Below are 27,637 nucleotides of genomic sequence, written 5' to 3'. Positions count from 1 at the left end.
TTACAACACTCCTACTCCACTGACCAAAGTGTAAGTATAATTAAATACACAATTATAAGGTACACAACAATGTACACAAAGATACACCACAGTGTTCTTTTGGAGAGGATGTCAGATGCCCTGACCCTGCAGAGAGGGAGCAATGCTGCGGCCCCATACGTGGAAGGTGAGGGGCTGGGGTGGAAAGCACTCTGTGCCTGGCCTTTCCCAGAGGCAGGAGCTGTGCACACACACGGATGCTGCGGCCCCATCCGTGGAAGGTGAGGGGCTGGGGTGGAAAGCACTCTGTGCCTGGCCTTTCCCAGAGGCAGGAGCTGTGCACACACATGGATGCTGCGGCCCCATCTGTGGAAGGTGTGGGGCTGGGGTGGGATGCACACTTGGCCTGGCCTTTCCCAGAGGCAGGAGCTGTGTACCCACACAGATGCTGGGACAGAAGACAGACACAGATGACTCCAGCTGGACAAGGGGAAACTGAGAGCAAGGTGCAGTAGAAAGACGCCAGTTCAGTGTTAGTAGGTGTCAACGTGTCTGAGGATCAGCAGGACAGGTGTGCTGAGGAAAGGGGCTAGAGATGGAGGAAGGCAAGTGTAGAAAAGAGGCTGGGTGTGGTGGCTCACCCCTATAATCCTGGCACTTTAAGAGACCAAGGAGGGAAGATCACTTGATCCCAGGGGTCTGAGACCAGCCTGGGCAACATAGTAAGACCCCATTTCTACAAAAACTTTTCAAAATTAGCAGAGAGTGGTGGTGCACACCTGTGATCCCAGCTGCTCAGGAGGCTGAGGTGGGACCCCAGTAGGTTGAGACTGCAGTGAGCTGAGATCGTGCCACTGCACTCCAGCCTGGGCTACAGAGCAAGACTCCGTCAAGAAAGAAAGAAAGAAAGGAAAGAAAGAAAGGAAAGAAAAAAAAAGAAAGAAAGAAAAAGAAAGAAAGAAAGGAAGGAAGGAAGGAAGGAAGGAAGTAAGGAAGGAAGGAAGGAAGGAAGGAAGGAAGAAAGAAAGGAGAAGAGATGAGAAAAGAAGAGAAGAGAAAAGAAAAAAAAGAAAAGAGCAAAGAAAAGAAAAGAGAAGGTTTGAGATGGAGGTCATGAGGAGTTCCAGGTCTGAGTGATGAGAGGTCTGTAGCAGGACTGTGGGGTGGGTGGCGAGTGGCACTGAGGGATGGAGAGCCCTAGACATGGTGCCCTTTCTTCCTGGACCTATGAGCAGTGCTGGGCAGAGTTGATGACTCTTTCCCCCCAAATCCCATTCCTCCCATTGCTTCCGATGCAGCCACCCTCCTGGTTTTCCTCCTGCCACATGGGATTTTCCTTCTCCAATCCCACTGGGGCCTCCTCCGGTCTCTAAGGTCTTAGGACAACACCCCAGATCTCTTATCTCTTTTTCCTGGTGGTCTCATGCATTCTCATGGCTTTTAGTGCCTCCACAGCTGCTGAACCCACAGGGATACAGCCGGCTCAGACCTCTCTCCTGAAGCCCAGATCCCTACATCCATTCGCCTACTTGCATTTCTGCTTGAATCTCTTGTGGCTCACACTCGATCTGTTCAAGACAAAATCAGTCTTTCTCCTGACATCTTTGTTATCCATCACTTCATAACAATATTAATACCAACTTAGTGACTTAAAACAATGTGCTTTTGTTTTGTTTATTTTTAATTGACAAGTAAAAATTCTCTATATCTATGGTGTATTATGTGATGTTTTCACATATGTGTACACTGAGTGATAACTAAGTCAAGCTATTAACATGTGCATTACCTCATATAATGTGTGGTGAGAATGCCTAAAACCCACCTTCTTAGCAATGTTAAATCAAGTTTAGTCTAAAGCTGCCTCCTTCCATATTTTAAGTTTGGCCTAAAGGTTTCTCTGTACGTAGTGAACTAAAACCTAAATGGAGATGTAAACAGACTGTAGCCTACTCTTGTGCCAATCACTGAGCTTTTGCCAAGCAAAGGGGGCCAACTGTTCAAACCATGTGCAACGGAGGCAAATGCCATGCTGTAACCAATGCAGCTGTTTGTGTACCTCACTTCCTTTCTGTTTTCTCTCCATAAATCTTCCACCCCATGGCTGCGCTGGAGTCTTTGAGCCTCCTCTGTCTTGGGAGGCTGCCCAATTTGTGAATTGTTCTTTGCTCAACTAAACTGGGTTAAATTTAATTTGGCTAAAGTTTTTCTTTTAACAGAAATTTTCGAGCATACAAAATATTGTTATTAACTATAGTTACCATAATGCACAATAGATCTTTAACTTATTTCTCCTGTCTAGCTGAAACATTGTACCCTTTGACCAACATCTCTCCAATTTTCCCTGTACCCGCACCAGCCTCTCTTCTCTGCTTCTATGAGTTCAACTTTTAGATTCCACATACCAGTGAGATTGAGTGGTATTTACCATTCTGGGCCTGGCTTATTTCACTTAGCATAATTTTTAATTCACATAGCATATGTCAATTAGCATAATGTCCTCTAGGTTTGTTCATGTTGTCACAAATGACAGCATTTCCTTCCTTTTCAGGGCTGAATAATATTCCTTTGTGTCTATGCACCACATTTTCTTTATCTTTCATCCTTTGCTGGACACTTAGGTCGATTCCATGTCTTGGCTGATGTGAATAATGGCGCATGTGAGTGCAGATATTTCTCTGACATGTTGATTCCAGTTCCTTTGGGTATATACCCAGTAGATAGACTGGTCAGTCGTATGGTAGTTCTACTTTAAGTTTTTTGAGGAACTTCCATACTGTTTTCCATAATGGCTGCTCACAGCATGGGAAGTTGCTTCTTCAAAGCTGGCAGGAGTGAATATTCCAACAGGATGAGCTACAGTCTTATGCATAAGCATAAGTCATGTATGCATAAGCATTTAGTCCTGTCACTTTTGCCGTATTCTGTTGGTGAGAAGAACTCACAGGTCCAGCCTACAGGGAAGGGGGAAGGGGAGTGAATCACACAGCAGGTGACACCAGGCAGCTGCAACCACAGGCGACTCTGGAAATTGACAAGCCCGCATCTCCTGCAGCGACCACCTACGTGGGTGGAAGCCAGACCTTCCGGTTTCTCAGGTCAAACCACTCATATCCCACATAAAGTCTGCCAGCCAACCCCACTGACACTAATTGGGACTGTGTAGCACCTGGCCACGACCCCCACCCCTTCACCACTCCTGCCCTAGGCCAGGCCCTGTCATCTCCCACCTAGAGAGCAGTGACTGCCTCCTGGCTGTGTCCTTGATTCTGCCTTGCCCCCTCAGTATCCTCTCACAATAGCAGGCAGGACGATAAAAAATGTGAATGAAAAGCAGATCACACAGCCCTGCGCAAACCCATAACGATTTCTATCCAGAGTCCAAGTCATCACAGAAACCAGCACAGGCCCCCACAGTCAGGTCCTCCCCAAGTTCCTGCCCCCATCTGACTTTCGACCTCCCTCTCCTGGGCTCTCTGGACTCCAGCCCCCTGTCTCCAGTCTCCATCTTTTTCTTTCTTTCTTTCTTTTTTTTGAGATGAAGTTTCACTCTTGTTGCCCAGGTTGGAGTGCAATGGTGCCATCTCAGCTCACTGCAACCTCTGCCTCCCGGATTCAAGCGATTGTCCTGCCTTGGCCTCCCCAGTAGCTGGGATTACAGACACGTGCCACCATGCCTGGCTAACTTTTATATTTTTAGTAGAAATGGGGTTTCACCATGCTGGCCAGGCTGGTCTCGAACTCCCGACCTCAGGTGATCCCTCGGCCTCCCAAAGTGCTGGGATTACAGGCGTAAGCCACTGCACCTGGCCTCCCACCTCCATCTTATATCACTTGATGTCATTTAACCTCTCAGCTTGCCATCTCTCCTCACCTGGATTTGTTTAAGAGCTAGTTGGCTGCACCCTTGCTGCTTCTGCCTTATCTTTTTTCCATCCAGCTAACCAAACCAAAATGAGCATTTGGAGTCCTAGACAACCATCTCTGTTTCCTTCATGGGTACTGTGAACCCTGAAAATTTGAGACAGGTCTCAGTTACTTTAGAAAGCTTATTTTGCAAAGGTTGAGGATGTGTACCCTTGCACAGCCTCAGGAGCTCCAGACGACATGTGCCCAAGGTGGTCGGGGCAGAGCTTAGTATTAGACACTTTAGGGAGACATGAGACATCAATCAATATATGTAGGAAGTACACTGGTTCCATCCAGAAAGGCAGGGACAACTCGAAGCCAAGAGGGGACTTCCAGGTCACAGGTAGATGAGAGACAAAAGGTTGCATTCTTTTGAGTTTCTGATAAGCCTTTGCAAAGGAAGCCATCAGATATGCATCTATCTCAGTGAGTAGAGGGATGGCTATGAATACAACGGGAGGCATGTTTGCCCTGAGCAGTTCCCAGCTTGAGTTTTCTTTTTAGCTTAGTGAAGAGGCCCAAGGTATTTTCCTTTCACAGGACACATCAGGTCTCCAGCCTCACCAACTTTCCATTTTGCTTTGCAAATGGCCCTAGTTATTCACCTGAAATCTCCTTATTATCCTTTAGGACTCATGCGGGAGTGGCCCCGCCATGTTCCCGGACTGCACCTGACTCCCTCAGGGATGTCGCCCTGAATCTTCTGTGTTGTAAGCTGTTTGCTCCGCGACTCTGTGAGTTCACTGAGGAGCATAAATTAAACGAGTCATTACTGTTAATGTGCTTGCCACGGTGCCCGCAAGTAGTGAGCACTATTTAATTGTTAAAAATTTATTTAAATGAAATTAAAAGGACTGTATATAGTTTGTCTATGTAATATATCCTTGGGGTCCGGCACCAGAGTGGGCAGTCAATGAAGAATGATTCAATGAACGAAGGAACCTGACAAAATACAGCTGAACAGTAACAAAGACAGAAGTCCTCGCAGGATCACAAAGGCCTGAATTTTGGAACACAAATGCAACTGACTGCCCACAGCAGTGCCTCCAGGTCCCCACCCCAGCTCTCCCACAGTAAAGCCGCTCAGGTATTTGCTTTCATGAATGGAGGGAAAGAGCTCCTGTTTACAAAGTGACTTCCTGGGATTTTTTGGCCTTCCTCCAGGCAGAAGCAAGGCTACAGAGGAAGGCCCAGCCAGGGTGAGGACCCAGACTCCTACAGGCGGTGGAGGGATAAAGTTCCGAAAGAGATTTCCCAAAGAGGGATCTCCAGAGGTCTCTAAACAGCCTTTCTCTTCAATGGCAAAAGAGCTGGTAAAGGGGTGAGTCTGTCCAGACAGCACTTCCCCAGCAAAGGGTCCAGGCAGCTCTTCACTGGAAGGCAGGTATAGAGTGAAGGCCTCTAAGGTGACCTACAGGCTTGTTTACCCCATTTATTTGCTTATCTAATTATTTTTGCAGTCCAGGCCTTGTTGGAATTATCACAATTTGTGAATTAGTGGGATCTGAAGTAATAGGGTTTCTCAGTATCTTTAATTATACTTAGGGATGGGAGGATAATTCCCTCATTTAGAAAAGAGACAAAGGGAATTAATTAAACACACAAAAAATGAGACACCACGGTTAGATACAGGAAAGGATTTCCTGCCTATGAATGTGGTTTTACATTTAAAACTGGACAGAGTGGGTGAATCTTTGAAAAATCTTTCAAAATAAGTCCTGTTTCTGGTTGTCTGGCCATGTAGGTTTTTGTGTCCTGAAGGCACAGGTTATGGAAAATCTCTGAAGACTCTGAGCTTCCTCCAGGTTTGATATTTTATTATAATCATTTTCTGAAGGGAGGAATGGTGAGACTGTGTTGTAATTATCTCCGGCTAGAGAAAGGGCACAGCGGTGGCCCATCTCTAAATGCAAGGACTACAAACAGTTACTCTAGGAGTTATCAACCGCTTTTATACTCAATTGGCTTTAAAGAAAAAAAAAAAACTAGCCTTTCTTTCACATCTAAACATGCTTTTTCCTGTGGGTTTACATTTTCTCCCCAGTCTTCCAATGGGCATTCATGAGCGCACCAGTTATTATGCAAACGCTGCTTTTGAAAGAAAACGAGGCACCATTAGATTTTGTTCAATGAAATGTTTTTGACCTACTAGGCATGTGAGGTCGGGTCATCATTTCTTTGATGACGACTCCCATCTACCCAGTTCTGGCCCCTACCAGCTACCTCTGCCCTGTGTCCTACTGGCTTTCGAAGGCTGAATGTTGACATTTCTGACCCATGAAGCTTTTACATGGAACACAGGATATCGAGAGCCTGAAATTGGCCGTGGTTGGAGTCTTCCATTATGGAAACTGGCAAAGGCTCCAAATCAGAGATACTCTCCCGCCCTCAGAACATCCACACTCACACCATGGCCCAATCCCACCTACACAATCCTCCTCCCTCAGTACTTACCCTGAGTAAAGACCAAGGAATTAATCAACCGGCAAAAACCACCTGTACTTATTATTGAAGAATAAAGTTTGCTTACAGGAAAAATGAGGCAGCATTTTAAATTGTTCTAGATTATTCCATATAACTCGGATTGCTAAGGAGACGTGACATCCCCACACTTATCAAGCTAGCTAGGAAGACGCAATATTCTCCATCAAAAAATCAGCGATCAAAAGAGTTGGGTCTAAGAATCCAATACATTCATCTCAAAGCATGTCCTAAACCCATAAACCGCCATCCACATAGGTACCAGGCTTGGAGTTTTTGCTTCCTAACACCTCCCCAAGGCTGATTTACATGTTTAACCTGCTGGATTTTCTGGAGTGAGCCAATCAGTCCTGAGGCCAAGGCCACCAAAAATTGTTTTCATAAGTGTTTTTAACCAAATGATCATTTTGGAATGAAGTTAACAGGCTATGCTATCTAGAACAATCCATGTAGTCTGAGGCTCTGTTTAAATTCCAGCTCAATGACCCAGGATTGATTTCTTTCTTGTCCCTTAGAAAAGAAGACATGTTTTCATTGACAACTCTAAAAATTAAAGTTTTCCACTCTCTTTTCTCTAAATTTCTCCTGTATGTTTTACTCATTCTTAGTATTTTAAATAGGAAATGAGAGAGGGATGGATTAAATGGTACAGGGTCCATGACACCTCCCTGGGGTCCAGACAGCCTCCCCTCCTCACCATCCCCTCCCTCCCACTCCCATTTTGCAGTGTTTACTCCCTGGAGTCCAGGCAGCCTCCCCCTCCTCACCATCCCCTCCCTCCTACTCGCACTTTGCAGTGTTTGCAATTGTTCTATTCCTAGAAAGACATTTTAAACTTAAGTACAAGAAAAAGTGCTTGTTCACGGTAAGGCGGGAAAAGACAGCTCCATTAATACTTTGTAAACGTATCACCGTCTCCTCTAATTAGGTGCCTGCAGTACCTTCCTGAAAAACAAAACAAACTGACAAACAAAAGCCTACTCTCCACCAGGCAGAAAAAAAATAGTTTAGAGAGAAATGTGATAAAATGTTTGGTACCTACTCCTTTTTAAAAATATTATGCTGCAACAATCTCTGCTTTCTGCACAAAGAGACATGAATACATCCATATTTATCACCGCCATTACATCTCATTGATGTTAGGATTGGCAGAAGGACAATGACATGAATAAAGCTGGCTGGTGAGCTAGACGAGTGGACATTCTTGACAGCTCACAGTGTTACCGAGCTCTGTTTGGCTCTCAACACCAACCTTCTGCCCCCACTGTCAATGCTGGTGCACCCAGGACTTGGATCTGGAATCCCTGCTTTTCTCCACTTACCATTTTTGATTCTGATTCTAAAGCTTTAAATACTCCAGAATTTTGTGACTCTCAGATTTCTCTCTCTACTCCTGACCTGCCTGCAAACACTTTCATCCAATTGCCTACTTGGGGTATCGATCCAGATATTGATGGGCGTCTTACACTTGACATATCCCAAACAGAATTCTATTTCCCCTCTGCCTTCTCATTCCAGTAAATGTATCAATGTCTACAGTTACTGAAGTGAAAGACCCTAAGTTGGGAGCTTCCAAAACCCAGCTCACATCCTGCTACCTCCCTCCGTCGTTCTTTCCATCACAGCATCATGCTTGCACCACGGCACTGGCTTTCCATGCGGCCTTTCTTCTCTGTTCTGTGTTCTCCATACAGCAGCTGGGGTGAGCTATGGAAAACCTTAACCCGGTGGTTTCACTCTCTTCCTGTATCCTCTCAAGGAATTCTACCCACCCTGACCTAAAGGGGCCCCCTCACCGCCACCTGCCAGCTAGCTTAGCATCCACCCTACCCCATTCACACAGGGCTTCTTGATGTATCTCAAACAACTCTAGCTTGTTCCTGTTTCAGGGCAGTTGCAGGTGTTTGTTCTTCCTTAAATGACTTCATTCCATTTTTGCACACGGCTGGTTTCCTCATGTCAGCCACATCTCGGCTTCTCTGCGGCTTCCTCAGAGAGGCCCCTCCTAGCCATATAATCTAACGTAGCCTTGGAATCTTCATCGTCCCATCACTCTGTGGTGTTTTCATCACACTGCCTCTCCCTTTCTGCTATGAAAGGTTTTATTTGTGTGTGCTGTTCATCTTTCTCCCCTCTAATGGAAGTTCTACCAGATTCGAGACCTCGCTTATTCAGCGGTGCAGCTCTTGGGTCTTGGGCAGTGTCTGATACTTACTAAGGACTTTGCCAGTGTGTGGAGAATAAAAAACTAAGTTAATGATGATTTCTTCAGTTTAAGTGAAGTCCAGAGTTGAATAAGCATAGGAGAGAAAGAGTCTTCACTAAGTTCTGCTTTTGCCAGAGGAACATTCAACTCCAGCTAAATCATGTTCTTCACCTCTCACTCTCCTTTTCTCTCTTATACACACACACACAAACACATATATACACATAAACACACATGTGTATATGTGTGTATGTGCACGTGTGTGTGTGTGTGTTTGTGATAACTTTCTGTGCTGCATTGGAGGACTCAGTTTGTTAAGACCTTACTCTTTCAACCAGTGCCCTGGTCATGTGTATGCTTATCAGAGAAAAATCATACTCTATGAAACATCAACAGGTTAGAGATAGAAGAAAGGGCTGCAAGAGAGGAAAAAGAAGCAAAGAGGGCAGAAACATTCTTGCTTTTCAAAGAGCAAAGAGTGAAATTTGGCTGCCTGGTTCATTTTGTCCCCCTTTCCTATCTGAAAAATTTCCAGAAACCTTGGGATTTCACAGTTATGTTCTGTGCTTGGCAACTCTGAATGATACAAATAATTCTTAGTAGGAAATAAAATGACTGATATACCTAAATAGGGAAGAAGTATTCTGGGATGTATAGATCCAAAAGTCTTCCAAACCAGCTTCCCATCTTGGCAAAAGAGCATAGAATCAGAATTCCTATCAGCTGACTCAGAACAGTTAGGGCAAAAAGAACAGTGGTGGCAACCTCTGCTCACACCGCCAAACATGCAGATGATCTCTGAGGGTCTGGCAATATTCACTGCAAAGGGAAATAATCAAAACGTAACATTTGCTGCATAGGTATGGGAGAGAGCATTTTAGGATGGAGCATTGCATCATGATAAGGTCTGCAGGAAAAATAAAAAAAAAGGAATGACCAATAGTCTTAAGAAAAAGCGATCACATTGGCCAGATGCTGTGGCTCACGCCTGTAATCCCAGCACTCTGGGAGACTGAGGCAGGTGGATCATCTGAGGTCAGGAGTTCAAGACCAGCCTGGCCAACATGGTGAAACCATATCTCTCCCAAAAATACAAAAATTAGCTGGGTGTGGTGGTGCATGACTATAATCCCAGCTACTTGGGAGGCTGAGGCAGGAGAATCCTTTGCACCCGGGAGGCAGAGCTTGCAGTGAGCTGAGATCGTGCCACTGCATTCCAGCCTGGGTGACAGAGCGACACTCCATCTCAAAAAATAACAATAAAAAAAAAGAAAAAAAGTCTGGGCACAGTGGATCATGCCTGTAATCCCAGCACGGTGGCTCATGCCTGTAGCCCCAGCACTTTGGGAGGCCGAGGCAGGCAGATCACTTGAGGTCAGGGGTTTGAGACCAGCCTGGCCAACATGGTGAAACCCCACCTCCACCAAAAATACAAAATTAGCTGTGTGTGGTGGTACATGCCTATAATCCCAGCTACTCGGGAGGCTGAGGCAGGAGAATCCCTTGCACCCGGGAGGTGGAGCTTGCAGTGAGCCGAGATCACACAACTGCACTCCAGCCTGGATGACAGAGCTAAACTCCGTCTCAAAAAAAAAGAAAAAAAGTCTGGGCATGGTGGCTCATGCCTGTAATCCCAGCACTTTGGGAGGCTGAGGCAGGCAGATCACTTGAGGTTAGGGTTCGAGACCAGCCTGGCCAAAATGGTGAAACCCCATCTCTACCAAAAATATAAAAATTAGCTGGATGTGGTAGTGCATGCCTATAATCCCAGCTACTCAGGAGGCTGAGGCAGCAGAATTGCTTGAACCCAGGAGGTGGAGGCTGCGGTGAGCCAAGATCATGCCATTGTACTCCAGCCTGGACAACAAGAGTGAAACTCGGGAAAAAAAAGAAAAAGAAAAAAGAAAGAAAGAAAGAAAGAGAGAGAAAGAAAAGAAAAGGAAAGGAAAGAAAAAAAAGAAAGGAAAAGAAAAAAGAAAGGAAAAGAAAAGAAAAGAAAGCCATTACAGTTAGATCAGGGCTCTTCCCAGAGCAATCCTTCTGTCTGTGGTGGAGATGTGACTTCTTCCACAATGTAGAGAAGTACTGGATGGATAAATAGTAGAGGGAAGAAAAATTATATTCTCCTTTCTTAAATTTCCCTCATAATTCAAGGGTTACTTTTTCTGGCAACATACCATTATTCTTAATAAAAGCCTCACTTGGAAACTTTGAGGTTGGAACTGGAAATAAATTCGTGTTGGAAAATGAAAGCTAGAGATCTCTCTGCAAGTCTTTCCTGAAAACATCGCTGCTGTGGTGAAGCGATGTTGCAGAGGAAAGCGGAGCTCACTGCCCCGGAGCCCGTGCAGCTGTCTGGATGGGGCTGGGGAGCCGAGTCATCTAACAGTGCCAAACCGTATCTGGAGTGCCGTTTATCGAAGCAAGTCTTGTTTTCATCTTCCCGTGATCTTATCTCCTCTTCTGTGTGAACGTTTTTGTGTAGGCACCGTCACCATTTAGATTTATTCATACATAGCCATCAGGTGCCCAGAATGTTAAAGGAAAGAGGTTTAAAGCAAAGTCTTTAATTATTATATTATTAAATATATATTATATATTACATTATAATATTACATTGTATTATTATTTAATATTTACCCTACTTTGGAAAAAATGTGAGCCAAGAAAGCAGCAAGCAAAGCTTACCGAAGAATAGCCACGCTACAACCACCTATTTGGTGTCCTGTGCTCACAGCCAGTGTCTTTCGCAGAGTAGATTAAAATTAGAGACTCAGAGCTCACCTATAGACTCACAGCTCACCTGTAGACTCAGAGCTCACCTGTAGATTCACAGCTCACCTGTAGACTCAGAGCTCACCTGTAGACTCACAGCTCACCTACAGACTCAGAACTCACCTATAGACTCAGAGCTCACCTGTAGACTCAGAGTTCACCTGTAGACTCAGAGCTCAGCTATAGACTCAAAGCTCACCTGTAGACTCACAGCTCACCTGTAGACTCACAGTTCACCTGTAGTCTCAGAGCTCACTTGTAGACTCAGAGCTCACCTATAGACTCAGCTCACCCGTAGACTCAGAGCTCACCTGTAGACTCAGCACATACCAGTCAGAGGTAATTGCAACAGAAAGCACCTGTGGCCAGTGGGAATGCACGATCCCCTAGTGCCAGGCCCACTCTGATGCTGCTCCAGGGATGCCATACCGGGCTCTGCCTTGCCTCCTGGTGGCCTGGCTCTGCCTGGGCCTTGATGACTCTGCTTCAGTTGCTGGACCATTGCAGTCTCACACTTTGCGTTGGTCCTTCCTCCCCACCCTCAGCAAAGAGTCACTGTCGGCACTGCCTGCGTTCCACTTCCTGTGGCAGGTTCTTCACCATTTCCCAAGTGCTTGTGTATGGGATGACCTCCATGCCTTGGTCATCTCCACAAGATCAACATTACACTGATCAAATCTCAGGCCAACTGCTCTGCATAACTTACATGCAATGCAGCCTAATGCCAACACCAAGGGTCAGAGGGAGTCAGGCAGTGATGCGTTCAGGACAGGCTACCCCAAATATGGCACCTTGGCATTGGAGAAAACAGCAGAAGCAAGAAGGTCACTCTCCAACCTCGTCTTGCCCTTCTCCCTGAAGCAGAGCTTTCTCCGTAAGATCTGGAGAAAGGGAACATCCTTACTTCTGACAACACAGAGACACAGAGAAGCATCTGAACAAGCAGGCTTTGCTGTGTTCTTAATGAGGAGAAAAGTCTTGCAAAACACATAGATACTTTCTACCTATATGCTACACCTATACTTGTTCTCATACGTGGTTTTGATTCAGATAAAAGTCCCTATTTTAGGGAAGCAATTTTTGTTGAACTTCAGGTAACTTAGATATTGAACCCTTGACCCTAAGGGGGTCATGAGGTCTGTTGGCTCTTACAAGGTGTCCCCCAGGAGGTGAATGGTGACATTAGAACAGGTTGATGAGGATAGACTTTATTCCATAACCTTACTGATGTTTTGCATGTATTTTTAAACTGTCCTAGGAGAGCGTGCTTGATGACTCTAATAACAAGTGGCTAGAATGGTGCCCACTCACCCCCAACAAAGGACTGCATTTGTTTGTAAAGAGAGAGAAATGAAAATGGGTGGTTGTGGTGATTATTGACCATCCATTTCAAAATAAATAGGCATCTGTAAAATTTATCAAAAAGCACAACAAAACAAGCATAAAGACCAAAAATGATGTATTGAATTTTTTTCTTTCACCTAGAAAATCTAAAATCTACCAGGGTTATTTTTGTGTGTATTAGTAAGAAAAAAAAATCATACATCTGTTTTTACTGAATGGTTGTGATTAGGTGATTGTCTGTCTCTTCTCTCTCTCTCTCTCTCTCTCTCTCTCTCTCTCTCTCTGGATAGATAAACAGATAGATAGATACCTGCAAATTGTTTAGCTTCAGAGTTAAATCATTATTTGTGATGAAATTTCTCACAACCCCATCTATACCCAATTGAGTATACTCTAGGCAAGGAAAACTAATAAGATACTAAAACAATGGCCAGCCTATTTTAACTACACAATAGGGTTAGAAAATAAGGCAGGAGTTATTATACAAAAAAAAATGGGTAAAAATCTGGACTTTGAGCTGAGTGAAGGGAATCTTGAATGACTAATTAGGACAGTTTAATCTTATTCTGGAAATCAAGGTGACACATAGGAAGTTTTCAAAAAGGGGAATGAGATAAAGAGACCTTTGCTGGTGGCACAACAGTTAACTTCGATGGGAAAATGAGGTTCAGAGCTGATTTGGGGGAGTTTGAGGACGTGTTGAAGGCTCGAATTAGAATAAGGACAGTGGAATAGGGATGGCAGAATGAACCGACGAACAGTACCGCAGGATGCATTGTGACTGGGCTATTTGGCAAAAGAGGAAATACACGTGATCACTTGGAGATTTCTACCTTGGCTGCTTGGTAGTTGGTGATGTTATTGACCACATCAGGCAATGCATTGTTAAAACCAACTGGAAGGGAAGCTTCGCACATGTGAAATTTGATGTGCCTACACCACCTCCATTTGGCCAAATCTTGCAGGCAGATAAGAATAGGGTCTGAATTTCAGGAGAGCCCTTAGGGCCCGCAGTGTAGATGATTCTCAGTTGGAGTTATTGAGAATGTTCAGAAATGATTGAAAACGAGAAGAGAAAGAAAGTACCTTGGCAAATGCATGCTTTTAGGAAGCAGACAGAAGACTCAAGTTGGGAGGGAGAGGAAAGATCAGAGAAAAGGGAAAACCAAAAGAAAGTGGAGAAGAGAAGAAGGAATGGAGGCTTTCAAGAGGGTGAAAGGGGATTCCATTCAAAATAGGAGGAGGCGGGGATGGTACCTAAAGAGAAGGTTATTGAACTGAAGATTAGTACATAGACAGTGAAGGTCCATTCGGTAGAATGGTGGGGACCAAGGAGTGAATGAAGGGTGAGGAGAGAGGGCAATGGGATATAGTTGTACTCTTTACAACAGTTTCTAGAAAAGGAAGCATCAGGGCAGTAGACTGATAATTAAATAGCAGCTTTTCCTTTGTAGAACATGGGTCATCTTCCCCACCTTGAAAGACTAATGCAAAGCTTAACTAAAGTTAGCTTTAACAAAACCCACAGCGCAGTGCCTAGAATGTAGCAAGTCACAAATTTCAACTTCTATTTCTATTCGTTTTCTGGGATTTTAAAATTATTAATAATTTTGTAAGTTTCTTATTTGTATTAGTTTTGTGCTTTTTCCTAATATTATAAATTAATAAAATTAACAATAAGAAAACAAATTATGCTGTGGGATAAAAGGGAAAACACATGAGCAGAGGAGAGGACCAAAGATACCGAGGACCTGTGTGCGAGTGGGGGGGCAAGGGTCCCGTGGGGAGTGGAGGGGAGGATTCAAAAAGTCATAGTCATTAATTTGGAAGGAAAAAAAAATCTAGTGTGTGTGTGTGTGTGTGTATGTGTGTAAAATGGTATAATTAATTTAGGGGCAGGATGGGTTTGGATAAAACAGAAAATGGAAAAAGGTTAGTTTGTAAAATTTAGAAAAACTATATTAGAAAACCTTAAAAAGGTCCCATTTCTCTGTCACACTGCTCTTTTATTTACTTCAAGTACAAGCTGTGGTTTCAGTGCATTGATTTGGGGTACTACAATTGTAGAAATGTATGATGTATAATAAAATTTGACTTACATAAAAAATATTTATGTGTAGGCATCCACAGAAATTATCACATGAAGTGGTAAGTTGCATCAAACAAAATAATCAGAGAGGGTACAGAAGATGGATGACTCGGATGCCTTGGCTTAGTTTCATTCTGGAGACAGTTTTTATGAAGATCCAGTGTGAATCCCACGGTAACTTGTCAGGCCTGGTTCCTCCTGGACTCATGTGCACCGAGGATCACGATTCTGATATTGGTTGTGAGTGACACTTCTCTTTCCAGATCTGGTATTGCGCAGGTTTCCTCAGTGGATACTTGGTGCGTGTGTGCATGCATGTTCACACATGTATGTGTGTGGGGGTGAGGTGTGCATGTGAGCTTGAGTGTGTGCATGTGTGTGTGGCAGGAACACGTGTGTGCATGTCTGTGTGTGAGTGCATTCAGGTGTGTGTATGTGTGTCCATGTGTCTGCATGGCATGCATGCATGTGTCTGTGTGTGGTGGGCACACATGGGTATGTGTGTGCGCGTGTGTGTGTGTGCACATTCAGGTGTGTGTATGTGTGTGCATGTGTCTGCATGGCATGCATGCATGCACCTGTGTGTGTGCGTGTGTGTGCATGTGTGTATATGTGAGGTGAACACCAAAGGCAGGTTTTAATTTCAAGGGTTGACCACCACGTTACAATGGAAACTGCACCACACGGCTGCATTCGCGCAAATAATTTCACCAGTATGTTTTCTAAGGACTTCTTCCTTGAGCCTTTCTTCTTGGCTGAGCTCAGCAGCAACTATATTTGGATTTCTTTTTAATCACATCTGAAGCAGGGTGATTAAATAGGACACAGACCTCAAGCTGGGAGCCTGTTCTCCCACACCTCGTGAATACTCACTCTCAGCAGGGTGCAGTATTTCCAGAGTAACTTCAGATTTACACAGATGCCTTATTGTGGACAGGCAACTTGAAGGAACAGGTAAATCTAATAGAGAAACCATTTAGTATAAACGTATTTTTTGAGGTTATTTGTATCTATGCCTGAGCTTCAAGTATGAATTAGGGTGGTCCCTGAAATAATTCAGTCTTTTGAGTTGTTCATGCCTCAGGGAGAATTTTGTCTTGTAACAGAAAGTGCTAATAGTTCATACCAGGATAACGTATCCTCTAAGTATTTTTTTACATAAACTTTTTATTGCAATACAGCTTAGCTACAAAATGTGCATATGCCTGGCATACCTGCGTATGGCGAACATTCCCAGCCTTCTTCTTAACCTTTTTTAGGAGTCTGACAACACTCTTCATTCTAGAAAATAAGTTTTCTTTTATAAGGAAAATACTTTTTGTTTCTTAGGAGATTGATGATGAGAGAGGGAAAAAAAACATTCAGTATTTTCGAGGGGTGTGCCCAGGACTTGCAGCAGGGGCAGGGGGCAAGGGCCCCACAGTGCATGACTTCAGTGCCCCCTTATCCAAGAGAGATTCACTCCTAGACCCTCAGCACATGCCCGACATCACGAATCATACTGACCACTAAATAGAACGTTTTTTCTATACCGCACATAGCTATGTATGATAATTCAATAAATTAAGCACAGTAAGAGACCCGCAACAGTCGCTACCAACAACAGCACAATTACAACAGTATGCCGGTGTCGTCACTCTTGCACTTTGGGCCATTATTACGTAAAATAGGGTGACTTGAAGACAAGCACTGTGATATCACGACAGTCGATCTGATAACTGAAGTGGCTCCTAAGGGAATAACAGGCAGGTGGCATAGACAGTGTGGATGCACTGGATAAAGGGATGGTTCACATCCCGGGCAGGACAGAGCAACTCAGAACGCGGCGCAATTTCAAACTTATGAACTGCTTATTTCTGCAATTTTTCCTTGAATGCTTTGAGCCCTCAGTTGGCCTCGGGTAACTGAAACTACAGAAAGCAAAACTGCGGATGGGGAACCAGTGTGACTGATATGACTGTGCCTCATTTTCAGAGCTGTCCGTACGGCATCAATGTTCTGTTAGTTTCCTGATGTTGATTGATATATATCTGTATAACCTGCTCATGGTTCCAAATGCAAATATTTCTACAAAGTTTATTAGGAAAACAGCAGTGTCTCAACATTCTCCCTCTATATCTCAGAGCAGGCAATTTCCAGGTTTTTCTGGCATTCTTTTGTGTATTTGCTTCCATTCTTTCTGATTAAAATACTTGTATTCCTACTTTTTTATTTTTTCAGATTTAGGCAGGATCTGTGAGCTAGCCAGCCTGGAAAATGAGCATTAGCTCTCTTGAACCCCAGTGTTCAACCACACAAAAGCTCCCGAACCTTCCTCCTTCCTCCTGCATGGCTAATGTTGGTTGCGTCAATAGTGTGTGTTCCATTGTTGTGGCTATACAAACACTACCCGAGCATTTTATTATTATGATCCCTGTCATTGTTATCTTCTTCTTGATTTCTTGACTATATTTATAGTTTTCTCTTTGTTCCTAGTAAGTATAGGAACAAATTATGATTTATTCCTATTATTATGTTCATATTAACACTATGAAACTATTTAGGACTCATTCAATAAATATGTAGTCATATCAACTGCTTGCGTTAGCAGTTGTGCTAAACACTGGGAATACCCAGGAAACCAGACAGAGCCCAGGCAGTATTCGGACCTCATAGTTTAACCGAAACTTTCTGTCGCTTGTCCACATCTCCCTTTCTTTGTTGCAGATCCATCAAGTCATCTGGTTCATGCGTCTCATCTGTGTGGTGGCTGTGAAGGACGCCCCTGGAACCTTCCCACCTGCCCCAGAATATGCTGGACATGGTCAGCACCTGGCTCCTGTCAACCTTCCATCTCCATCACCGGCCTCTGGAGATTCCCTACTCCCATGTGGTGTTGGAACTCTGTTTTTGATCCATGCATCCTTCTTTTGGAGAACTACACCCTTCAGAACTTACCAAGGAAAGATTCTTTGGGGGTAACTACTGAGAGCTTGTATGTCTAAATATATGTTTATTCTAATCGCATTCTTAATTAATAGTTGGGCTGAGCATAGAATTCCAGGTTAGGGATCAATTTCCTTCAGGGCCTTGAAGGTACATTTCTATCATCTCCCAGCTTCTATTGTTTTGGTTGAGAACTGTGAAAATGTTCCATGTTTTCTGCTTTATGTTGACTGTTTATCTTCTCTTTGAAAGAGAGTAGGACTTTCTCTTTTGTTCTTGCTAAGTAGAGGAACAATTTAGGATTTATTCCTATTATTATGTTCATATTAATAATATGAAACTATTTGGGACTTATTCAATAACTACATAGTTATATCAGCTGCTTGTTGTGTCAGAGGTGTTTGAACCAGAGGGACTCCATCTTGAATAGGGGCTAGGTAAAACAAGGCGAGACCTACTGGGCTGCTTTCCCAGGAGGTTAGGCGTTCTAAGTCACAGGATGAGATAGGAGGTCGGCACGAGAGACAGGTCATGAAGACCTTACTGGAAAAACAAGTTGTGGTAAAGAAGCTAAAACCCACCAAAACCAAGACGGCCATAAAAGTTACCTCTGGTCTTCTTCACTGCTCATTTTACACTAATTAGAATACATTAGCATGCTACAAGACACTCCCACCAGCACCACAACAACTTACAAATGCCATGGCAACACCACAAAGTTACTGTTATATGGTCTAAAAACGGGAGAAACCCTCAGTTCCGGAAATTGGCCACCCCTTTCCCAGAAAACTCTTGAATAATCCACCCCTCGTTCAGCATATAACCAAGAAGTCACAATAAATATAAGCAGCTGAATGGCCCATGCTGCTGCTCTGCCTATGGAGTAGTCATTCTTTATTCCTTTACTTCTTTTTAAATTTATTTTTTATTTTTTTTGAGACAGAGTCTCACTCTTGTCGCCCAGACTAGAGAACAGTGGAGCGATCTCGGCTCGCTGCAACCTCCACCTCCTGGGTTCAAGCGATTCTCCTGCCTCAGCCTCCCGAGTAGCAGGGATTACAGGTACCCGCCACTATACCCAGCTAATTTTTGTATTTTTAGTAGAGACGGGGTTTCATCATGTTGGCCAGGCTGGTCTTTAACTCAAGCAATCCGCCCACCTCAGCCTCCAAAAGTGTTGGGATTACAGGTGTGAGCCACTGCGACCGGCCTCCTTTACTTTCTTAATAAACCTGCTTTCACTTTACTCTATGGATTCACCTCATACTCTTTCTTGCGCAAGATCCAGGAACCCTCTCTTGGGGTCTGGATCGAAACCCCTTTCCAGTAAGCATTGGGCACTGTGCTAAATGCTGGGAATACCCAGGAAACAAGAAAGAGTCCAGGCGGTAGCCAGACCTCAAGGAAGTACCATCTCGTCAGGATCAGAAATTCTGCTTCCTAACTCAGAAATAATTTTTTTTTCTGAACGTATTTTAGACAAACACCCTAGAGAAGTAACTAGAAATCTACAGAAAACTTTGGCTCCTAAAGCTGCATACTTTGCATTTGCAAAGACTGTTTGTCACTTGACATATACACTTTGATAAAAACAGTGCCAAAATTTGAAGTAGGGAAATGTAGGTCAACTAGGCTAACAATCAAGAGAGCCCTGACAGTAGGTTATAACAAGTTTGTTTCCTAATATTAAGGAGGGATAACTGTGAATCTCTTGTGGTTATCTAATGACAATAAACTAAGACATAGATCTGATACGAGTGATGACAGAACTACGCCATAGGACCTGATTTTAGGAGGTTGCTTCTCTCTGTCAATTCTTTCCTGTTCTTCCAGAATTAACCACCATTCTCAGTAATAACCAGGAGGGCGGCTTCTTCATCATTCAAATAAGCACCTGTTGATGCCAATGGAAAGCAAAGTCGTACACACCTCGTTCTACGTAACAGAATCCTGAAGGGGTCTCTGTTTCTGTGTCCAAACCTTCCAGATGGATTAGTAAATCCCATGTGGGAAGTAATTTAGCCCAACTATGACTTATTAGCTTGTTCAGTAGTCGCATTTTCTTTTTTTTCAAAATAAAAATTAGGGATGAGGTTGGGGAAATATAAAATCTAGAAGTGGCCGGGCACGGTGGCTCACGCCTGTAATCCCAGCACTTTGGGGGGCCAAGGGAGGCGGAACACGAGGTCGAGAGATTGAGACCATCCTGGCCAACATGGTGAAACCCCGTCTCTACTAAAAATACAAAAATTAGCCAGGCATGGTGGCGGGCCCCTGTAGTCCCAGCTATTCGGGAGGCTGGGGCAGGAGAATCACTTGAACGCGGGAGGCGGAGATTGCAGTGAGTCGAGATCGCGCCACTGCACTCCAGCCTGGTGACAGAGCAAAACTCCATCTCAAAAAAAAAAATTCTTTAATTAATATAATGTGCAAAGTGTTAGACAGGGAAATAAAAGTAAAGGAAGACAAATGTCTTGGGTTAACCTGAAACAACCCACCATTGCATGGAAGGAAAAGAACAGAACACAAAATGCAGCCTCAATAGAGGACCAGGAATCAAGACAATCACTGGAACCCTGGACCTTTACAGATATTCAGAGGGCTGCATGCATCCAAGTCTCCCACCATGCTTCTTTAGGAAGGCAGATTCCTGGGCTCGCTCTCAGGTGTGTTTTATCAGAAACCTACATTTCAACATCTGCCCAGATGATGTAGGTGCACACAACAGTCTGGGAGGCACTGCTTGACCTCGGCTTCAGTGTGAGAAGCAGCAGAGATGCACATACGTTACCTGCTTTGGGGGGAAACCTCAGTAGGAGGGAGTTTTCATATTACAATTTTGACTCGTATTCAGAAAATGGTTAGTAAACAGCAAAGGTCTTTTCCTTCTCGTCTCTTACCTCTCCCTGTTCACAGACAGACTTCAGGATGCCGCGGTGTTAGTTTTTCCTAATTTAAGGCTGCTGTGGATATTCACTTCAATCTGATTTTACTGTTATTAAGTTACATGTGTGTGCATGCGTGTGTGTGTTTGGTCAGGTACAGTAATTCTCAGGAGCAAATCCTTTTAGTCTTTGATGAATACGAAAAAAGACTTCTGTTTAATGACAGGAGGGAAAATTATAACTTTGTATACTTTTTTTTTTTTTGAGATGGAGTCTTGCCCTGTCACCCAGGCTGTGGTGCAGTGTTGTGATCTCGGCTCACTGCAATCTCCACCTCCCGGGTTCAAGCGATTCTCTCACCTCAGCCTCCCGAGTAGCTGGAATTACAGGCATGAGCCACCACGCCCAGCTAATTTTTGTATTTTTAGTAGAGATGGGGTTTCCCATGTTGCCAAGCTGATCTTGAACTACTGACCTCAAGTGATCTGCCCACCTCGGCCTCCCAAAGTGCTGGGATTACAGTCATGAGCAACCATGCCTGGCCACGTTTTTATAAGTAATGGAAAATCTTGGAAGATTTTTTGAGCTGGGGTGAGATCATAAGACAGGGTTGAAGCATACTCATCTAACAAGTGGACAGCAATCCCTGTGAATATTTGTCTGCCAGGTCAAATGGCAGGCAAGCCATCGTCCTTCCTGCACAAGGCCCAATAGGACTGAAGATTCAGGTCAGATTGTCACCTACTGGGCAATGCCTGAGTGTGCCTTGGTGAGGCCTGGGTCTGAAATTGGAGACATGAGGGAGAAACCCCACCAGCAACAATGGCACTGATGTGTACCTCCTCTTCTCATCACAGAGCTGTGCTTATGAGCTGAGTCAGAGGGAAAGACAGAGGTTGAAATACGAGTTCCATGATCTAGCCAGTACACTGTTTGGAAGTGACAGAAATCCAACTCAGGCTAGCTTTGTGGAAAAAGGGAATGAATCATATGGAACGGAGAAGGCCAGGAATGGAGCTGGCCTGGCAATTTTGGAAAAAGGGAGTACAGGGCTTCTTCCTTTCCTCTCTCTTGTTTCCCTGTGATTTTATTCTCCCTTGAGGCAGATGTAGATGAGCTAATGGTAGGCATTGAGAGGAGGGTTGGGTTGCAGACAGATGCGGATTTGTTTAATCTCAGCTCGAGAACTCCAGAAGAAAGAGAGAAAGTACCTTTGTCAGTGGCCCTATATAAAATCCCAAGGAAGGCATCTGATTGGCTGGATCAAGGTCATTTGCCCATCTCTGAGCCAATCAGCATGGCCAGAAGGGACCCATGATTGGCCAATCCTTGATCATGTGCTCACCCATGCGGTTGGGATGGTGATGGGGTGCAATTTGAATCAGAAGCCCTAGAGGAGTAGGAGAGATAAGTCCCTAAACATTAGTAGACTAAGAGGGAAAAAAACGTTGGGCAGATACAAATACACATTATTGTCTCTTACTGGCTTTGCAACTTTGGCAAATTAATTTCTCTATGCTTAGTAGGGTTATTAAAAAAATTGAGATAAATTATACCAAGTCTTTAGCACATATTGCCACTCAATACATAGCTATTTTTATTGCCAACCAGTTTTCTTCCTAAGAATTTATAAACCATACCAGTCTATGGACAAAAATTCCCAGGATTTCTTGTTTAATCACTTTATGGGATGCCATTGGGACCAAGACAAATACCTGCCTGGCACATCAACTGGGTTAAATCCACCAATCGTTCAACAAATTGTTATATGTCCTAGGCACAGTTCAGATTTTAAAACATTAAACCTTGAAAAGTTCACTTTGCACTAACATAGTTTTGCTATCTCACTTGGCAAACTACAGTGCAAGTCTGAGAGACGGAGAGGTCTATCTAGGAGCCCACAGACTGGTTAGAGGTCAGCCTGGCCCTGGAGTCAGGGATGTCCTCCAGAAGAATTGTAGGCTGCCCTCACACACACACACACACACACACACACACAAATCTGAATCTGCTTAAGCTAATGGATTATCTCCGATTACTGAAGGCTGCTCTGCAGTTCCCGGTAATGACGGACGTGCTGCTTCTTCTTTCCAATCAGAGGATCCCCAACAGCAGAATCACTCAAACTCCCCGTGCCAAGTGGCTCCCTTTAATCCCAATGCCAGGTGGATGGATTCCCACGCTGCCCAGGCAGTTCTAACGTGCAGCCTGGTTTGGGAACCGTGGTCTCGGATGCTCCCAGGTATGCAAAGGTGGTGACTGACCTGCACACTGCAGACGACCCTGCTCTTCCTCCTCCAGCTCAGCTATTCTTAAACTTGAGCACACATGAGATTCACTAGGAAGGCTGATTTAGACAGATTCTGGGCCTCACTCCAGGGTTCTGATTCTGGGGGTCTGTGGTGAGGACCGGAAATGTGCAGGTCTAGCAAGTTCTCAGAAGACGGGGGGCGGGGGGCGGGGGGGCTGCAGGTTGGGAATCGCATCTTGGGAACCAGAGCTCCAGCTGGTTCCTTTTTTTTTTTTTTAATTTGGCCACGTTATAACCTAGGAGGAAAGGTCCCATGCAAGAAAAAGAGGTAAACTGGACCTGGAATTTCCCTTGGTTACCTTAAACATATATTAGAAAAAAGACTTCTATTCTAAAATTATAGCTGCAGACTTAGCCAAATTAGAGGACATCTTTGTTTGAGAATATCATTCATTGTTTTGGTTGATTTTAGGATTCAGACTCAAAGCTACTTGAGTTAAACCTTGGTTTGGAATTCACTTATGATATAACTATGGGAAAATTAAACTTTTTTTCTCCTAAGTCTCAATTTCAGATTTATAAATTAAGGATAATAGTATGTTCTGGAGACATGATTTTATAAAATTAAAATGAGATAAGTTGAGTACAATGCACAGCACAGAGGAGGTGCTTAGCAAAGGTTGCAGCAGGTGACTCTCATCAGTGAAGACCAGGACTCACAGAATCCTATAGCACACAGAGGTGGCCGGCATTCATTTGGATCTTAACGTGCGCGGCTTTGCTCATCATACACAGTTTAGGAAGAGATTTCCAACCAGAGTCACTAAAGCTTGTGGAAATTCATGTTATCATTAATAACTACTAAATATTTAAAACAGCAAATATACAAAAAATAAAACTAAAGAAGATAGAGTCCAGGCACCTCAGGTCGGTGCATGATGTGTGTGCGGTTGGATGGGCAGATTTGAGCCACTTTGAGATGGGCCTTCCACTCCATGCTGGGGAATTTGGACTCAATTCTGTGGGCGATTAGGAACCACTAAGGGGGTAGCTTGGTCAAAACTGGTGTTCCTCAGTGTTCCTGGGTGATACTTTTGATTTCAGGATTCTTTTTCAAGGCCTGTATATCAACTGTAGAAGGTTCTTTGAAGATTTCTCCATCTTAATTGGTTACTTTAAATTTGCTTATCTGAGTTCACACCTTTTTCAAAAGTCGTTTCCTTATAAACATGTGATTTTGTAAGGACCTGCTGGTCTTTTTTTTTCTCAATGAGTCTAGCTGTTCTCTTTCCCTTTGAGAGTGTGTAGCAATAACATCTGGTGGGTAGAAGGATTTGCTCTAGTCCAAGGAAATTAAACGTCTATAGCAGGAGATAGGATAATTACCAATTGTGGTGACAACAGGCACCGTCCCCCAGGTATACCTGAGGGCCTGTGTGAGTGGAGTGAATCACCGTCTAAATAGCTCCTGTGGTTGGGAACTTTGGAGTCAGATAGCTTTCGATTAAATCTCTTCACTGTCACTCACATGCTGTGTGATCTGGGACAGTGGTCACTTAACAACTCTAAGCCTCAATTTCCTTTTATAAAAATTGTCACATAATGCCCACATGAGAAGACTGTTGTTAAATTCAATTAAGTGTTTTTCATCTGCTAAGTACATAATAAGAGCTCAAGCAAGAATCTCCCACTTCTACTGGAGATTCAGTCTACTGAGCCGATCATCTCCAAGGCAGGTCTCTTGGTCTAAAGCAAGCGCACTTTGGATGAGACACATCAAGACTTTTCCCATCATTAAAAACCTTAAGATTTGCATTTCTCTAATGATCAGTGATGTTGAGCTTTTTTTCATATGTTTGTTGGCCGCGTGTCTTCTTTTGAGAAGTGTCTGTTCATGTCCTTTGCCCACTTTTTAATGGCACAGGTTTACCTATGTGACAAACGTGCACGTCCTGCACATGAATCCTGGAACTTAAAATCAAATTAAGCTAAAAAAAATTACAAAATGAAAAAAAAGACCTTAAGCATTGGATGGTTGTCTGAGACTTTGTAAAATAGGGAGACTTGGTTCCAGGGATTACAGCTCAAGGCAGGTACCCATGGTGGTGGGATGTGGGCACAAGGGGAGGAGGCTGGCCCGGCTGGGGTGTCATCGTGGAGTGGGCCATCAGACTCCAGAGGAACCCTAGGTCCTAGGAGATGTTCCAAAGGGGATGAAGGAGACAAAGGAAGAGAGACGCCCTTGGAATAGGGGGTCACAGAGGGAACATCCCTGTCACAGACTGGCAGAGTCTCCCCACAAGGCCCAAGGTCACATCCTATGACATCCCACTGCAGGGTTGCACCTCTGGACCTGTGGACACCCACAGAAGAACAGGGTCTGTGAACCCCAGGGATGGAAAAGATAGAAAAGGGCGACTCTCCACCCCTGGTTTCCTCCACCCAGGCAGCAGCCAGCTACTCGGCAAACTCCCTCTACTCTCGTAGTCTTGTTGGAGGAAGGACCCACCCCACTCTTGCTGAATGCATCTACTTTGCACTGACAAGAACCATATTTTTATGCACTCACGATATTGATGGAGAGACAAAATAAATGAGTTGAGCTAGGTCCTGATACTTATCTAAGTGTGGATGGTGGGAACTTACAATATTACACACAAGGAGTTGCATTATTGACTGCTCTTCAGGAAAGAAGGAAGTCATAAAATTACTTAAGTATTGAGCCTTTTGTATTCCATTTTTTTCCAGCATATCTCTAAACCCTTTGCAGGTTTTATAGACTTCATAGGGGGGAATTCTAGTTCTTGTTTTCAAAAGAACTTAGTGTTGCTGGGAGGAGTGGCCAAAGGAATTTGGAAAAATAAATAGAGTGGAAAACTCTGCATTCTAAGGCAAACGTTTATGATGAAGCATGAACCGTCGCTCCATCTGGGCATGACATTTTCATGTGACTCTTTTGGTACCAGTATTTTGACCCCAGGGACATTTTGACATAACCTAAAAAGATATCATGAAGCTTTCAGCTATTTTTGTTCTAAGTAATGTGCTCAGTAAACATCCTCCCCTCTCCCCCGGGTTTCAGTCCTTCAGAAAGTTGCCCGCATCCCATCGAAGGAGGATTGCAGGGGGAAGGTCAGAGAAAGAATAAGAAATCTGGGTTGTCTCATTAATGACACGTCTTGTGTTTGCATTTTGTATGCAGGCGAAGGACACGGCGACATTACAGAGAGCTCTCTCGAAACGGCTCCCACGAGAAAACAGCGATGTCCAACTCACCATGGTACAATAGCTCGCCTTAGCCACAACTCCACTTGCTCTTCTGGGACTCAGGAAGGCCTTAAAATGTGCAAAAAGATGATGACAGAGTAAGCACGGAAGTCTACCAGTCACAGGCGCCTAGTACGTTTAGTGCTCACACTCCATTCTGCCTTGTCATTTGAGAGACTTTGGAGGCTGCATTGTAAGAAACGGTTGGCTGTGGAAATACATTCCTGTCCATTCCCCTTACTACTTTTGCGATTAATTCCCTATGTTGCATTTTTCTCATGAATAAAGCAGAAATTATAACTATTGAATCATAGGATTACCATAAAGGTAAAATGCTATAAACTTCTATAAAGGTATTACTTCCTGAGGAATACCTCTTATTCATCTTTGATGTTGGCTTGTATGGATCACATTGGCTGGCATGCTGGAGATTTTCAGCAAGAATCTGTTAATAGAACAATAGGTATTGAATTGGTGAACAGAGCGCCAGACATTGGGAAATAATCCTACCGCTTATCCCTTTCCCTTCTCAGCAACTCACCCCGTCTCGGCAGTCAAGAAACTGAGAACCTCCAATGTTAAATGACTTGTCTAAATTCATGACAGAAATTAAATTTAGACCAAGTTTGCCAAATTTAACCATATTAAACAAATATGCAGGATGCTCATTAAACTGAAACATCAAATACACAAGAAATAATTAATCACTGGGACACACTACTACTAAAATAAAAATTGATGTCTACCTGGAATGACACTCTAACTGGGCATCTGCATTTCATCAGACAGCCCTGGTTTGGACTGGCATCCTCTGACTCAGAGGCCCGGGCTCTTTCCTGCTCATCCTGCTTGTCTGGAGAACAGAAATGATCAGAGGTCGGAATGATGGGAGCAGGCAGGGCAGGAGGAGTGGAGAGAGGGAAAGACGGACGCGAATATGTGTATGTCAGTGTGGTCAGGCGTCCTGTGCCGGGGCTCCCAGCAGTGCGCTGCCGGATTGCGCATTGAAGCCCTCTGGAAATACGCCACACCCCTGCCAGATGGAAAGAGATGTGCCTGGATTGCAAGGAGCACATGACCCACTCGGAAGAATATGCAACTAATTGCTAATTTCATGTCTGGTTGGCAGCTTGCCCACAGTCCTTGCAGGTGTCATGAACACGGATCTCCAAGGAGCCTGCGCCGTCCATCATCTCGGTTTTGCTTTCATTCTAGGGCTGATCTCATCCAAAGTGAGCGATTCTGCTCACTTTGATCCATTATACTCCGTGCGGTTAGTCTGGATTATTTACGAATGAAGTTGCGAGGCTACATTTTCTCCTTCATTGTTCAAATCGTTGCTTTGTGAAAAATACCTGGCAAAAAACTTAAGTGTTGGAGAGTGGCTTCAGAATGTGCCTCCTGAGTCACCCTGATGAAGGTCGAAGGTGAACCACATAAAAACATCTCTTTGGACCAGGCACGGTGTCTCACGCCTGTAATCCCAACACTTTGGGAGGCCGAGGCAGGCGGATCACCTGGAGTTCGAG

At 44.1% G+C, this 27,637-nt stretch overlaps 2 long non-coding RNA genes across 2 annotated transcripts in view, besides 1 other annotated feature; one reads left to right on the top strand and one right to left on the bottom strand.

Moving 5' to 3' along the window:
* Positions 1 to 27,637, bottom strand: part of LOC105376360 (uncharacterized) — a 432,070-nt gene that overhangs the window by 86,762 nt on the left and 317,671 nt on the right. The window lies entirely within an intron of this gene.
* Positions 14,790 to 15,290: an enhancer, noted in NCBI's record as "H3K4me1 hESC enhancer chr10:3690905-3691405 (GRCh37/hg19 assembly coordinates)". NCBI's record gives its function as "activates a minimal SCP1, AML or CMV promoter by ChIP-STARR-seq in primed H9 embryonic stem cells {active_cell/tissue: H9 hESC(primed)}" and the evidence as "EXISTENCE:reporter gene assay evidence [ECO:0000049][PMID:30033119]".
* LOC107984193 (uncharacterized) lies at positions 16,694 to 26,416 on the top strand. The gene is made up of 3 exons (XR_001747330.2): positions 16,694 to 16,780; positions 17,487 to 17,737; positions 26,044 to 26,416. It is a non-coding gene; the product is annotated as an uncharacterized LOC107984193 (long non-coding RNA).

The sequence above is a fragment of the Homo sapiens genome, chromosome 10 (genome assembly GCF_000001405.40).
Source record: "Homo sapiens chromosome 10, GRCh38.p14 Primary Assembly".
NCBI lineage: Eukaryota > Metazoa > Chordata > Mammalia > Primates > Hominidae > Homo > Homo sapiens.
The sequence above is the reverse complement of the archived record's forward strand: the minus strand, read 5'-3'. Positions and strand labels throughout refer to the sequence as shown.